Here is a 15,967-nt window from a genome sequence, read left to right as displayed (position 1 = left end):
TCCATGCGCTTCAACCTCCCACAGTGCTGGGATTACAGGCGTGAGCCACTGTGCCCAGCCAACTCTTGATTTTCCAAGATGAACTAGAGATTTGCATTTTGTTATAAAAATTTCCATTTTTTGACTTTTTATTATGGGAAAATATGAAACATATATATAAATAGAGAGAGTGATATAATGAACACGCAAGTACCCATTAACTGGATTTAATAATTATTAGCAATTTTTCCATATTTACTTTATCTTTTTGTTTTGTTTTGTTTTTGAGATAGGGTCTTGCTTTGTTGCCCAGGCTGGAGTGCAGTGTTGTCATGTCAGCTCACTGCAGCCTCCACCACCCAGGCTCAAGTGATCCTCCCATCTCAGCCTCCCAAGTAGCTGGGGCTACAGGTGCATGCCACTACAACTGGCTAATTAAAAAAATATATATTTGTAGAGACGAGGTCTTGCTATGTTGCCCAGGCTAGTCTTGAACTCCTGGCCTCAAGTGATCCACCCACCTAGGCCTCCCAAAGTGCTGGGATTACAGGCATGAGCCACCACACCTGGCCTGTATTTGTCTTTTTGTTGTTATTTATTGACTAGACTCTCAATTCTGTTCCAATGATCTATATACATCCATCCTTATGCCAGAGGCTGGTCTTGATTACTGTAGCTTTGTACTAAGTTTTGAAGTTGGGAAATGTGAGTCCTCTAATTTTGTTCTTCTTTTTCAAGATTATCTTGGATATTTTGAGTTCCTTGCATTTCCATATGGATTTTAGCCTCAGCTTGTCAATTTCTGCAGGGGAAAAAAAGGCCGCTGGGATTTTGTTAAACCTGTAGGTCAACTGGGGGAATATTGTCCTTTTAACAATTTTAAGTCTTCCAATCCATGAACATGGAGCACCTTTCAATTTATTTAAGTCTTTAACTTTTTTCAGTGATGCTTTATAGCTTTCAGTGTACAATTTTATACTTATTTTGCCAAATTTATTTCTAAATGTTTTATTCTTTTTGCTGCTACTTTAAGTAGAATTGTTTTTAAATTTTATTTTCAGGTTGGGAGCTGTGTCCTAAATCTCTTAGTCTAGAACCATCCTCCTCATTTTTTTTATGACATGACATCTTCTGGATTTGTCAGGCTGATTCCTTATGGTGCTGTTTAACTTGTTTCTCTCTTTCCTGTACTTCCTGTAAATTCTGTCTCAAATGGATTCAGATTAGATTTTTCTGGCATGAAAACTTAATAAATAGTTCTGTGTACTTCATATTGTATCACATCAGGGGGCATGTAATGTCCGGTTAGCATGAACTCTTCCAATTCTTTTTTTTTTTTTTTTTTTTTTTTTCCTCTGTCGCCCAGGCTGGAGTGCAGTGGATGATCTCGGCTCACTGCAACCTCTGCCTCCCAGGTTCAAACAATTCTCATGCCTCAGCCTCCCCAGTAGTTGGAATTACAGGCATGCGCCGCCACTCCTAGCTAATTTTTGTATTTTTAGTAGAGATGGGGTTTCGCCATGTTGGCCAGACTGGTCTCAAACTCCTGACCTCGAGTGACCCACTGCTTCGGCCTCCCAAAGTGCTGGGATTACAGGCATGAGCCACTGTGCCCTGCACAAAATCTTCCAGTTCTTAAGTACTCTGTATAACAAATTGGAGGACTTGATTTAGGAGCAGGGGTTGGGGGGAAGAGGGCAGAAGGAGGTGGGGAAGAAGAGGGCAGGGTCACAGGCAGTGGGATGGAGCAGCAGGGAAATGGGGAGGGAGGCCTAGCACACCTGTCACTAAACCCCAAAGCTCTCACATCCAGGCAGGAAAACTCACCAACGTGTGGCTACACACATGCACATGCACACATACACACACACGACAAATATTATGCAGGCGGAGAAATCATATATGTGTGCTATATGCTACCCTGCCCCGCTTTGTGAGTGGGTAGCCACGAGAGCTGGGAGCGGTCTGCCCAAATGTGTATGACCACACCTGGACCATGGCTCTTGTAGCGAGAGTATGGCAAGGGCTAGGCTGTAGGCTGGGCGTCAGTGAGGAGGCTAATGCAGGGATCTGGGGAGATGGTGGAGACATGAAACATGGCAGAGCCACTGGGGTGGGAAGGGAGGGCCTGGTGGCACCATCAGGAGGCTGGGCTTGGGCTTCCAGAAGCCTGGGGCATGGTTAGTCAAATTGTCCTTCTTGTGTTCTTTTTTTTTTTTAATTGGAGGAGGGAGAATGTTTTTTTTTTTTGAGACGGAGTCTTGCTCTGTTGCCAGGCTGGAGTGCAGTGGCGCCATCTCAGCTCACTGCAAGCTCCGCCTACCAGGTTCACGCCATTCTCCTGCCTCAGCCTCCCGAGTAGCTGGGACTATGGGCGCTCACCACCACACCCAGCTAATTGTTTTTGTATTTTTTTAGTAGAGACGGGGTTTCACCATGTTAGCCAGGATGGTCTCGATCTCCTGACCTCATGATCTACCCACCTCGGCCTCCCAAAGTGCTGGGATTACAGGCGTGAGCCACCACGCCCGGCCGATTGTTGATTTTTTTAATTGGAGGAAGGAGAGTGTTGAGGTGGCAGTCTGCCCGGTGTTGAATCAGGGGGCTTGCAGGTGTTCAGAGATGCCCACCTTAGATTGTGGGGGAGAAGGGAGGGGAAATACCCAGAACCCACACACAGAGAAGGGCAGTAACGAACCTAAGGCCACGCGGCAGCTCGGGTCGCCTTCGCCCAACACATTTCCCCTTTCTGCATCCAGGACGTTGTCAGCAGGTGGGAAAGAAACGAAGAACCCTTTGTTTCCTTTCCTTGTTTCCTCACCACACTCCCTTTCCTCATCTGTTAGGGGAAGGCCATTGTGTCAGAAACAGAGGCAGGCACGTAGAGCAGAAGGAGCACTGGAACGGGAGTCAGGAGACATGGGGGCTGACCCAGCCTCAGCATCCATTTCCAGTCCCACCACTCAGCCTCAGCTGTCTCGGGGAATCCCAGGAGATCTGGGATAATAATGGCCAACGCTATTGGATGACATTCATTGAGGACTTAATATGTGGCGGCCACTAAGTGCTCAGCTAAATTAACTCATCTAATTCTAACTTAGGCATATAGAGAGGTTTTTTTGTTTGTTTTTGTTGTTGTTGTTGCTGTTATTTGAGAGAAGGTCTCACTCTGTCACCAAGGCTGGAGTGCAGTGGTGTGATCTTGGCTCACCGCAACCTCTGCCTCCCGGGCCCAAGCAATTCTCCTACCTCAGCCTCCCGAGTCGCTGGGATTACAGGTGCGTGCCACTACCGCTGGCTAATTTTTGTATTTTTAGTAGAAACAAGGTTTCACCATGTTGGCCAGGCTGATCTTGAATTCCTGACCTCAAATGATCCACCCGCCTCGGCCTCCCAAAGTGCTGGAATTACAGGCATGAGCCACCATGCCCGGCCCTTGTGTTGTTTTTAACATGTCCTAAGTCATACAGCCAGTAAGTGACAGAGCTGAGATTCTGGACCCGAGTCGTATGTTCTGAGCCACCACCCTGTGCTGCTACTTCAGATACGGTGAGTTTCTTTCTCTTTCCTTTCTTCTTTTCTTACATTGTTCTAAACAACATATCTGTCGTTAAAATCCAAGGAAGATCTTACACACGCAAAATCCAAGGAAGGTCATACACGTACAAAATAAAAAAGTAATAAATCCCCTGTTCTACTTCCACCCGGGTTGCACCTCTGAAGTGACCGTTGTTTACAATTTGCTTATAGAATTCTTCTACTTACCTATTCTGGTTTTGTTCGTTTTTGTTTTTCATAACTAGGACTACCTACATAATGTTCTGGAACTTGCGTTTTTGATGTAATATGTTTTGAGATCTTTTTATGTTATGCATGTAGATTTATCTTCCTCCCTTTAGCAGCTGTATGCTAGTCCGTAGTGTGGAGGTACCATGATTCATTGAACCAGATCTCTTTTGATGGAGACTGAAAACATTTCATGTTTTCTTGATCACCAGTGAGGCCGCAGTGAACAGCCTTGGACCAATATCCTTGCTCACAGGGCTGATTAAAGGAATGGCCCAGCCAGGCAATGTATCCCATCAGGGACATTCAAGCAGCACTGGAATACATTGGGAATATAATGGCAATTCACGTGGGCCTTTGCAAGGGACTGACTCCTGACATTTACTGTCAAAATGTCAATTTGGTCAATTTGGTTCCTCTTGACAGGGTCCACAGTACCCCTGAGTGAATTCAGCAGAAATCCAGCCAACCCCATCTAGTGTCTCACCCCACCTCTCCAGTATATGTTCAACAAATATTTAAAGAATAATAATTGCAAAGGAGATGCAGATGACACTTTATGGGCTAAATTCCTAAAATTAGAATTTTGGGGTCAAAAAGAATGTGCATTTTAATTATTATCAGAACCCAAGTTAACATCCAAAAGGGTTGCAATTTATAACCCCCACAACAGTGTACATGAGCGCAGTCTTCCTCACACCCTTGCTGCTGGAGCTATGTGCTATCAGTCTTTTGCATCTTTGCCAAACTCAAAAAATTTTGAAGAAAATCTGGTGTTCCGTGAACCCAGTGGCCACCTTCAACACTCCTCCAAACAACTGCCCATATCCACAGAGGCTATGTCTGTCCTTTTTCTCAGTGTCTCTGGCTTACCTCCTGAGATGCCTGGATAGGTAGGAAGTTCCACTAAGAGAGACTGAATTCCCTGAGGATGGGCTTGAAGCATTGGAAAGGCCCCCGACCCCGGACTCCTGCCCTTCACCACATCCCTCCTTTGTGAATTACCAGATGGACAAAGTCCCTTTGTGCCCAGAAACTGAGGTGCAGGAGTGAATGGAATTTCCTGAGTTGTCAGAGCCGGATTCTCGAGACATACATGAGGCAGCTGTGACTGGAAGGCTGAGTGGTCTGGGCAGAGAGGGGAGCTTGCCTGGGTCCCAGGCAGCAAGGAGATGTTAGAACAATGGTGACCATGTGGGCCAGGGGCAGTGGCTCATGCCTGGAATCCCAGTACTCTGGGAGGCTGAGGAGGGCAGATCACAAGGTCAGGAGATCGAGACCATCCTGGCTAACACGGTGAAACCCTGTCTCTACTAAAAATACAAAAAATCAGCTGGGCGTGGCAGTGGGCGCCTGTAGTCCCAGCTGCTGGGGAGGCTGAGGCAGGAGAATGGCGTGAACCCGGGAGGCGGAGCTTGCAGTGAGCCGAGATGGCACCACTGCACTGTAGCCTGGGCAACCGAGTGAGACTCCATCTCAAAAAAAAAAAAAAAAGAACAATGGTGACCATGCATTTTGGGGAGCCAGGCCTTCCAACCTTGGAGTGTAGAGTACTAGAGAAAAGACCCAGCGTGCTTCCTTCAGTCTTCAGAAAAAGCTGGTCAGAGCTGGAAGGTGCCTTAGGAAAGAGGAGGCCCAACGTGCTCATTTTACAGATGAAAAAACTGAGGCCTACCAAAGGGCAGAGACCCAGCTAGGGTTGTGCAGGGAGTCGGGGTCAGAGCAGAGAGGAGTGTGGCTGGAAGGCAGGGTGAGGGAGGCTCTCGTGAAGCCTCAGTTGGCTTCTGGGTCACAATTAATAAATCAAATGAAAGAGGACAGAACTCCACAAAGTGGAAAGGAATGTTTTTATCTCCTCCACCTCTATAAACGGTGCTTAGGGCCTAGCTCCAGAGTGTTGCCAGCTTTACTTTTTTTTTTTTTTTTGAGATCGAGTTTCACTCTGTCGCTCAGGCTAGAGTGCAGTGGTGGAATCTCGACTTATTGCAGCCTCCTCCTCCCGCGTTCAAGCGATTCTCCTGCTGCAGCCTCCCGAGTAGCTGGGATTACAGGCACGCTACCACACCCAGCTAACTTTTGTATTTTTCGTAGAGACGGGGGTTTCACTATGTTGGCCAGGCTGGTCTTGGACTCTTGACCTCAGGTGATCCGCCCACCTCGGCCTCCCAAAGTGTTGGGATTACAGCCATGGGCCACCGCGCCTGGTCCAGCTTTACTTTTCAGCCCAAGTAGCAGAGTCAGAGAACATACAGGCCAGCAGCCTGCACCTTCGGGAGAAAAATCTCCCTCTCCCACAGATGCAAGTGTTTCCCCACAGTGAGACCAGTGCCTGGCCCTGCTCCTGGCTCTGAGCTGAGCCCCAGGGATTCGGATCAGTGCTGGAAGGGCCCAGACCAAGAGTGTTGATATAACGGTAAAAATGAGAATGCTAGTGGCTGCCCCAGGGTCAGTGAGTTCAGGCCAGGGTCAGGGCCTGGGCTCTAGTCCTGCACTCTCACTGGCCTCGTGGCTTTGGGCAAGCGGCTTTTCCCTAAGCTTCCTGTACCTCCATTTCTTCATCTCTAAGGTGGGGATCATGAGAGAACCTGCCCCGTGGGGCCTAGGAGAGGGTCATGTTGGTGTTGATAAATGTGCAGTGCTGGGAGCAGTGCCTGGCATGGACAGGGCATCTCTGAGTGCCCCCTTCTCACCACTGCCTGCCAGCCTCTACACTGAGTTCCCTTCTATGTCTCATTTCATGTAAACCTCACGAAGGAGGTGCTACTTATTATATTAGCCCTTTTCACAGATGAGAAAACCAGTCCAAACTCACACGAGAACTGACACAGCTGGGCTTCCGATTCTCTGAGCCAGACTCCACCATCTTCACCACGGTGGGGAGGGAAAGTCTCTCAGCTGCTCCCAGGCTGACACTCCGTGCCTAGACCTCGGTGCCTGGCCATGCTTTCGAATGGTAGAGCGACTGAGAGTGCAGGCTGGGGAAGCTGAGGAATCGAGGCTCAGATCCTGCTCTGTTACTTGCCCACCAAGTGTCCTTGGTCTTCCCTAAGCCTCCCTTTCCTCGTCTGTAGAATGGGGACAGTAACAGCCCTGTCCCCCCAAGGTTATGGTGAGGACAATACGAGGCGATGTTTGTAGAGGGCTTCATGTGGCCGTGGCATTTGGTGGGTGCTTGGTAAGGAGGGACCGTGGGCAGTTTCATCATCGTTCTTACCCGGAGCCCGAGATGAGTAGAACGTGGTGAGGCCAGCTGTCTCCTTTAAGCTTCATCCTTCCCCAAATGCCGCTTCTCTCCTCTGGGTTTCCAAAGCCCAGTCCAACTTCCACTTGACTTCCTAAGTCCATACCAGTGAGTCCCTGCCATTGGGAGTGGAGTTAAAAATAAAGCCCGTCTTTAAATCCTTCAAGTAAACACCCAACTCTCTAAAAATAACCCCTTTGCAACAGGTCTTCACAGCCAGGCAGGGCTTGAGGGATGGAACTTGGCGAGGCTGGTTCCCGAAGCCAGGCGTGACCCAAGCCTTGCCTCCATGCCACCCCTCCTTGCCTCTCGAGCCTCTGGTTCTTTGGGGAGTCAAGCACCCCCTCTTTGTCTCCATCCCCTATTTGTCTCTCTCTCTTCACTACCACCAGCCCAGTGCCGGCCACCAGCTCCTCTCACTGCCCCTCTGCAAGGGTCCCTCACTGCTTTTCATGCCTCCTCCTGCCACATACTCTTCTCCACACAATAGCCAGCATGAGCTTTAAAAAATGTCAGCCTGCATGTGCCATGCTGCCATACAAAACTCTCATGGGGCCCTCAGTTAAGGTTCCTGCAAAAGCAGAGCCTGAGACAAGGATTCAGGTGCAGATAGTTTACTGGTAGGTGATGCCAGGAGGGAGGAGCTGAGAGGGCGTGAGCGGGGAGCACGAGAAGGAAGAAGGACAGGCATTGCAGGTGTGTGTTATTGAGGCATCACTGCAGACCACGGGGACTGGATCCAGCTCAGACCTCAGTATCTGCAGCATTGTCCGTCTGAAGGATGGATGCGGGCTCCAGTGCCGCATTCACTGGGAGTTTCCCAAGCGGCAGAGGGTGAAGGGGCCTCCTGCAGCCTCAGAGCAGGCTCTGGGCAGGAATTGGACAGCTGTGCTTGCGTGGGACCCTGACAGTGCTGGGTGAGTCTGACCTTACATGGAGCTTGCCTCCACAGCTACGGGGGAAACTAGGGGTAGACACAGGAGCTGGGAGGCAGGCACCGGGGGTGTTGCTTTCAGGAGAAATTCCAGATTCCTTCCTTTGGCCCCCAAGTCCCTTCCTGTCTGGTTCCATTTACCCCACCGGCCTCATCTCATACCACTCTCCCCATCATTTGCCTTCAGCCATGTTTCCTTCAAAGGGCCGTTCTCTTTCCTGCCTGCAGTCCTTTGCACATGCTGTTCCATTTGTCCAAAATGCTTTTCCTTTACTCTCTCACGAACACCTGCTCTTTTCATCTGGCTTCACTCAGCTTGACTGTTTCTTCCTCAGAGGAGCTCTGAGCTCCCTTCTAGTCTGGGTTTCCTGTTTTATGTGCCCCCGGCTCCCCAGTCCCAGGTGCCAGCACCTGGCCTAGCACCCAGCAGGTATGTGTGACCCAGGAAGCCTGGTTGACTGACTAATATCAGGCCTTAAACACACTGTAATGGGAAGAACCCACAGCATGGGGCACCCTCCATGTTATTCATTTCAGCCTTGAAATACATACAACAAGGACTTATTGAGAGCCTGCTCTGTGCCAGGTAAAGTTTTAGGCTCTTGGGGAAGAAAACCTGAAGATCCAGCCTTCATGATGTTTGCCCTCCCGCTGGGGAGACAGACAGCACAACAGATGTACATAAAGACAGAGCCTGTGGTCGGGCAAGTTGCCTTTCAAAATATGTGGTCAGGGCTGGCCTCACTGAGGAAGGCCTCGTTGAAATTGAAGCAGAGACACGGAGCTGAAAGAGCTGGCCAGGGGGCTGCGTCAGGGGGAGCTGCCCGGGAGAGGGAGGGGCCAGGGAAGGCTCTGAGGTGGGCATGTGCTTGGCGTGCTCTGGGGACAGTGAGGAGCCCAGTGGGGCTGAAGTGGAGTGAGGGGGAGGACAGCAGTGCGAGAAAAGGCCGGAGAGAGCGTGGGGAGGCGGCGGGGATGGATGGCAATGTTGTACAATCTGGGAGCCACTAGCAACCTGTGGCCATTTAAGTTAACTGAAGTTAAAGAAAGGAAAAGTTTCCTTTCTCAGTCTCAGCAGCCACATATCAAGTGTTCGATAGCTGGGACAGCACAGATATAGAACATTTTCCTCATCCCTGAAAGTTCTATTGGGTGGTGGCTTCGGGGGCCTTGCAGGTCAGGGTAGGGCATATGCGCTTGCCCATACATAACTGGGCACACATCCTGGGGGCCTTTCCTCACCTCCCAAAGTGGGTATGATTAAAGCATGCAAGGCCATTTGGTCCAACCCCAGCCAATGTCAGAATGCCTTTCCCATCGTCCTGCCAAGTGGTCATTCAGTCACTGCGTCTGTCTCTCCAGGCATGGGGAGCTCGCCATCTCTTGAGATGGTCCAGCCCAGCTTTTGATAGATTTGCCTTTTGGATTTGCTAAAACCAGAAGGACTTTCTGCTTCTCTGTAGTTTCTACCCATGGGTCCTGGTGCTATCCTTGAGGATTGTGTAGTTAGAACTGTGCTCAGCTGCAGGTAATAGAAGCTGCCTGTGGCTGGGCATGGTGGCTCCTGCCTGTAATCCCAGCTCTTTGGGAGGCAGAGGCAGGAGGATTGCTTGAGGCCAGGAGTTCGAGACCAGCCTGGGCAACACAGTGAGACCCTGTCTCTACAAAAATAAAAATAAAAAAATAAAAATATTAGCTAGGCGTGGTAGCATGCACCTGTAGTCCCAGCTACACAGGAGGATCCCTTGAGCCCAGGAGTTCAAGGCTTCAGTGAGCTATGATCACACCACTGCACTCTAGCCTGGGCAACAGAGCAAGACCCTTTCTCTTAAAAAAAAAAAACTGCTTCTACTGCCTCACCCATTGGGCTTCTTTTTCTCACATGATGTGATCAGAGAGGCTGTGCTAGGCTGAATGGCAGCTCCATGATGCCCTCAGGGACCCGCCTCCATCTGCCTTTCCCTCCCTCTGTCCTTAGAGGGTGGCTTTTGTCCTCACACTCAGAAATAGCCACTGCACACCTAGCCTCACCTCTGCATTCCAGGCAGCGGAGGTCCAAATGCAACAGCTTCTCTCCATGCAGAAGTGAAGACCTTCCCCAGATGTAGAGAATGGGAAGGTGAATATTTTTAGCCGGATGCGTTGCTTCCCTGAACAAATTAGGCTTCCGTTAGTGGGAAAGAGGGAGAGAATGGATATTTGGTGAGCAGCTAGCAATGTCTGTCTCAACATCCTTGCAGAGGTTTGAAGACTGTGACCTTAATATCCCGAGTCTTCCCTGGTCACCACATCTCTAGCCCCTTCACTGCACCTCTGTTTTCATGTCTCCTCCTTCTCCATCTTTCAGATGGAGAGACAGAGGCACAAACATCATTCACGGTCAAGAGCACAGGCTTTGGGGTTAGATAACACTCGTTCCTTGGGCATGTCACTTTCCTGAGCCTCAGTTTCTCCAACGGTGGGAGGTGGTAGAAATTGATATAGTACTTACCACTGAGGGTAAAATGAGATATAACCTGTGTAAATACTGTACACCACAGTCATTCAATAGTGGCAGCTTAAAAAAATTATTCTACGATTACCCTTGCTTCAGTGATTCTTCTTGGTGTTATTGAAGGGTGAGATCTCGGTGGGGATCTCCCAGGTGTTTCCATAATCCCAGCGATCACCCCAGGGAGAACCTCTTTCCTTAGGCTGCTAGAGGACATGTGCCATAGGACCAGATAGGAGGGAGGGGCAGCGGTGGGAATGCGTTTTCAGAGCTACCTTTGGCCAAGCCGTATCCTTGTGGGGACCTATTGCATTGCTGCTGAAGTGCTTTTCCCATCAGCCCTGGCTTCGTGTGGCCCTGTCTGGCAAGGGGGTGCTCCTACAAAGTCATGGCAGCCTGGTGCCAAAACCATCATCCCATAGGACCTGCTGTAGCTTTGCCAGAAGCCTGGCCCAAGGGGTGGAGGCCCCTGGAGCTCTGACCCACCACGTGGAGGGTGGGAAATGCCACAGAGCAGGTTCTCTAGAAGGGATTTGTCAGAAGCTAAACTGGGGTGCCCCCTGGGCTCAGGCCTGCACAGTTTCTCCCTGACCACCCAGCTGGGATGGATATAAAGACAGGTGTCATGTTGCAGAAAGCCTGCCCTAAGAGGCCCTACTGGTGTTTTCCTTTATTAAAAAAAAATAAAATCTCGGCCAGGCGCAGTGGCTCATGCCTGTAATCCTAGCACTTTGGGAGGCCGAGGCGGGCAGATCACGAGGTCAGGAGATTGAGACCAGCCTGCCTAACACGGTGAAACCCCATCTCTACTAAAAATACAGAAAATTAGCTGGGCAAGGTGGCACGCGCCTGTAGTCCCAGCTACTCGGGAGGCTGAGGCAGGAGAATCACTTGAACCCAGGAGGCAGAGGTTGCAGTGAGCCAAGATTGCACCACTGCACTCCAGCCTGGGTGACAGAGTGAGACTCTGTATTAAAAAAAAAATCATACATTCATTTGGTTCAAAACCCAACAGTTAGAAAAGTATTACTATAAAGAGTCCATCTCCTTTTCCTGTCCCCATCTTGTTGCCACCTCCATAGGCAACTCTTGTTTGTAGTTTCTTTCCTTTCCTTCCAGTTACTTTCTATTAAGATGGAAAATATGAAATTGCTAATATTTGACCAGGTTTGGCCTATAAAATGGCAATTTCATACTGTTCAACCTAATATAAACAAATGTATAGATTCCTGTTCTTCTCTTTCTTACACAAAAAGTAGCATATTATACTGTAGCATATACATACTGTTTGGAATCTTGCTTTTTTTTCTTTGCTGTGTATATATTGGAGATCTATTCATGTTTTTCCAAGTACAGAACTTGATCAGTTTCTAAATGCTTGTGTAGAATTCCATTATATAGCTGTGCCACAATTTACTGAATCAGGTCCCCATTGTTGTACATGGATGTTTGGGTAGTTTCCAGATATTTGCTGTGTTAGATCAATATTTCCACCCATGGGTTGGTATATCTCTAGAATAAATTCCCCCAACTCGCAGTTGCTGGATCAAAGGCTCTCTGTGGTGGCTGTCCCATTTTATCTTCCCGTCCACATTGTTTTAGGGTGGGAAGGCCTCTGCCACTGACTTGCTGAATGACCCCGGGCAAGTCCCTGCCCCTCTGTGGTTCTCCATTTCCTGGAGCACTGAGCTCTCCTTGCCTTGTCCTTGGGGGGAAAAAAGCCGGCCCAGATTCACTTCCTTGCTTGGCCTTTCCCACGTCCCAGTCATGGGCAGCTATTGTTACTGTGGATCCTTTGGGAGATGACTTTAGCTCAGAGGGAGTCCAGGGCAGCCCAGTGAGGTCAGCATGGAAGAGCAAACAGGAGGACGAGGCGAGGCAAAGGCACAGCGGTGTGGCAGCTGGGGCAAGGCAGCGATTGCCAAATGCCAGTCACTGCCATACCTTCCTGAGCCGCGCCGTGTCCACATGCTGTCTGGATCCCCTTACTATTTAAAAAACATTTTAACTTTCTTAAATCTAAATTTATTCTTATAAAGAAACTTTAGATCATTACCATAAATACAAATCTAGTATTAGATTAGAAAAAGTTAGCCAAAAAAAAGAAAAAGAAGAAGAAAAAGAATACAGTGAAGCAAAATATCATTAAACCCCATCCCTCAGTTGCTTATTAAAATCTTGGCCAGGTGCAGTGGCTCATGCCTGTAATCCCAGCACTTTGAGGGGGCCAAGGCAGGAGAATTGCTTGAGGCCAGGAGTTTGAGACCAGCCTGGGCAATATGGTGAGAACCCATCTCTACAAAAAAATAAAAAAATTAGCTGGGTGTGGCAGTGCTCACCTGTAGTCCCAGGTGCTGTTCGGGAGACTGAGGCAGGAAGATAGCTTGAGCCCAGGAAGTTGAGGCTTCAGGGAGCCATGATCACACTACTGCACTCCAGCCTGGGCGAAAGAGCCAGACTCTGTCTAATAAAGCAAACAAACTCAGACTCAAGGCTGCTTGCTGCTGGGCTCTCAGTTAAAAAACAGCGTGTAAGAGACGCATTAAAGCTCACGCCTGTAATCCCAGCACTTTGGGATTACACTTTGGGAGGCACTTTGGGAAGCCAAGGTGGGCAGATCACGAGGTCAGGAGTTCGAGACCAGCCTGGCCAACATGGTGAAACCCCGTCTCTACTAAAAATACAAAAATTGGCCGGGCGTGGTGGCGGGCACCTGTAATCCCCGCTACTCAGGAGGCTGAGGCAGAAGAATTGCTTGAGCCCGGGAGGCAGAGGTTGTAATGAGCCGAGATCGCACCACTGCACTCCAGCCTGGGTGATAGGGCAAGACTCCGTCTCAAAAAAAAAAAAAAAAGGTCTTTTTAAATTTTTTCTCTTTTTACAGATGCACTTTCTACAGTGTTACTTAATGAATGGTCTGGTACCACCTATCATTCTTGGTCCTGCCAGTAGAAAGCATCCCATCCTTCAGAGACACTGGCCTGAAAGACAGATTTCTCCTCTCCCTCTTCCCAGTGTCAGAGAGAAGGAAAGCCAGTATTTAGAAGGACTTGTTCAAAATCCAGTCTTTGAAAGGGCAGGATTCAAAGACTTAGCCCAGTTGTGACTGCTATGATGGGATAAGGCAACGGGGTTGGAACCTCCTCTGGACCTCCAGTACCTGGCACGGTGCCTGGGGCCGAATCCGATCTCTGGAAGTGTGTTTTGAACAAAGGGATGCAGTTGTCCAGAGGAAGGCTGGGTTCGGCCCCGCCTGGTGGCTTCTTCCTCCCCTGTCCTTGTGACAGCAGGGTCGCCAGCCCCCAGGAGCAAATGGAGCTGCCTGGAATTCCTTCCCAGAGCTCCTTATCAGTTTTTAGAGCAGCCTGGGGTGGGGTGCGAGTGGGTGTCAGTGACACTGGGATCTGCTCTGGGAAAAGCTGGAATGCCCCAGCCGAGCCCCACCTGGGGAGGGGCGGGAGGCGGGGGAGGCCGCTGGGCTGGGAGGACTCAGCTGTCACATTCCTCCGGCTCACAGAAAGCTCTCCTGGGCGCCTTGTCCTTATTTAGGCAGGAGATGTCTGCTGACTGGGGCCTTGTAAGATGCCTTTGCAGGCCGGCTCCCGGGTGGGGTGGGGCGGGGCGGGGGCAGAGCACACCAAGAGCTAAGTCAGCAGGCTCCTGGGCAGGCGAGCCCCAGGGTGGGAGCCCAACCCTTGGGGAGAAAATCCGCTAAGTAGTGATAACAAAAAATAGCAGCTAACATTCATGGGGTACCTACTATGTGCTGGGCACAATGCTGAGCTGGTCTGTAAGTTCCAGAAGGCGAGTCTCTCCTGTTCACAATGGTACCCCAAGATTAGCCCAGGTTCTGGTACACATAATGTACACATATACTATATACTATATGCACATTCAGAATATCCAGAAGGGTTGCATCAGTCTGGGTTCTGGCAGGAAAGGGTCTATTAGGTGCCTAGTAAATCCTTGTCACAACTGAATGAATATACCCTTCACATGCCACAATTTACATAATCCTTACAAGAAGTAGCTACTAGTATAGCTAAGTGCTATTAGTAACCCATTTTACAGATGGGGAAACTGAGACTGGGAGAGGTTCCATGACTTGGCAAAGATCATGCAAGTTGGAAGTGAGGGAGCTGGGGTTTGAAACCAGGTTGTCTGACTCCAGTAGTAACTAATGCTTCCATCTTCTTATTTTGGTGTTAAGCCACAATAGGATTCCTGGCTTTCCTCTTCCCTGGCTGTGTGGATTTGACGGGTTATATAATCTTCTCACCTGCAAAGTGGGGATAGTGATACCTACTTTAGAGAATATTGTGAGAATTAATTAAGAAAACGCATGCAAGTGCCGGGCATCTAGTAGGTGCGCAGCAAGCATTGCCTATTCATAATGGTGATGTTGATGTTGATGATGATGATGGCGATGAGTCCCAGGGGATTCAGCATCCTCTTGCTGGGTTGCACCCAGGGAGCAGAATAGGCAAAGGGTGAGGCCATTTTCCAGCAGACTTCGTCCCCCTGCAGGAGCACGGTGACAGTCATGGCCCTCTGGAGAGGGTGGCAGGACCTTCATCCTGTCTGTGTTTCCTAAAGAGAAATGTTCACTACTCCTAGGCCATCTGAGGCCTCCAGGTTCCCCAAGCATGAGGCTGGAAGGGGTCTGGGGTAGGTTTTACCCTCTGTTCATCCATGGTACATGATCACATTTTTGTGTCAGCTCCATTGCCCAAGGCTTCCATGAAGCACCTCCTGTGGACCTGGACTAACTTGCCATCCCTTGCTGTCTGTGTACAGGTTGTCTTGGGCAAGTTATTGAAATGCTCAGAGTACTGGTTTTCTCATGTGTACACTGAGGGTGATAATGATAGTATTTCTCTCATAAGGCTGCTGTTCAGTAAAGTGACATGATATGTACAAGCACTTACAATGGGCCTGTCATGTAGTACCTAACCCTTCCAATATGTCTATAACAGAGTAACGATCACAATGACTAACTCTCAATGATTGAAAATTGAAAATGATCACACAGACTTCTCTGGGCCACAGTTTCCCCTTCTTGTTGCTGTGTTGATCTTAAAGGAGATGAGATGATTTCTAAGGGTCCGTCCAGCTCTGTGAGTCTCACAGTCAAGTATATGTGATTCATATAACAAAACGTTTGTCCAGCACATTCCTGGTGAGCCTAAATATTTTCAGATAAATAGTCCTGCTCTGTGCCAGCCTCTGTCTGGTGACAGGCACGCAGCAGCGAAGCTTCTGCCCCTTGTGGGACTCACAGACTAATCAGAGGAAGACAAAGTGACCTTGGAAGCGAAATGCAGGAGACGGTAGAGAGCTGGCAGTCAGGGTGAGCTACCCTGGGGAAGGGTCCTGAAGGATGAGTAGGAGTTCACCAGATAAAGAACCGAAAGATGGGGATGGAGACAAGAGTTCCCAGGAGAAGAAATTACCTATGTTTTCACCCCAGGCATAGAAACAATCGACAGGGCACATTTGAGGAACTGGAAGTTTCTGTCTGACTAGAAGGTTGAGT

General features: G+C 49.2%; 1 protein-coding gene across 1 annotated transcript in view; it reads left to right on the top strand.

The window, feature by feature from the left end:
• Positions 1–15,967, top strand: part of JPH2 (junctophilin 2) — an 80,599-nt gene that overhangs the window by 35,894 nt on the left and 28,738 nt on the right. The window lies entirely within an intron of this gene.

Source organism: Homo sapiens, chromosome 20 (genome assembly GCF_000001405.40).
Source record: "Homo sapiens chromosome 20, GRCh38.p14 Primary Assembly".
Classification (NCBI taxonomy): domain Eukaryota; kingdom Metazoa; phylum Chordata; class Mammalia; order Primates; family Hominidae; genus Homo; species Homo sapiens.
The sequence above is the reverse complement of the archived record's forward strand: the minus strand, read 5'-3'. Positions and strand labels throughout refer to the sequence as shown.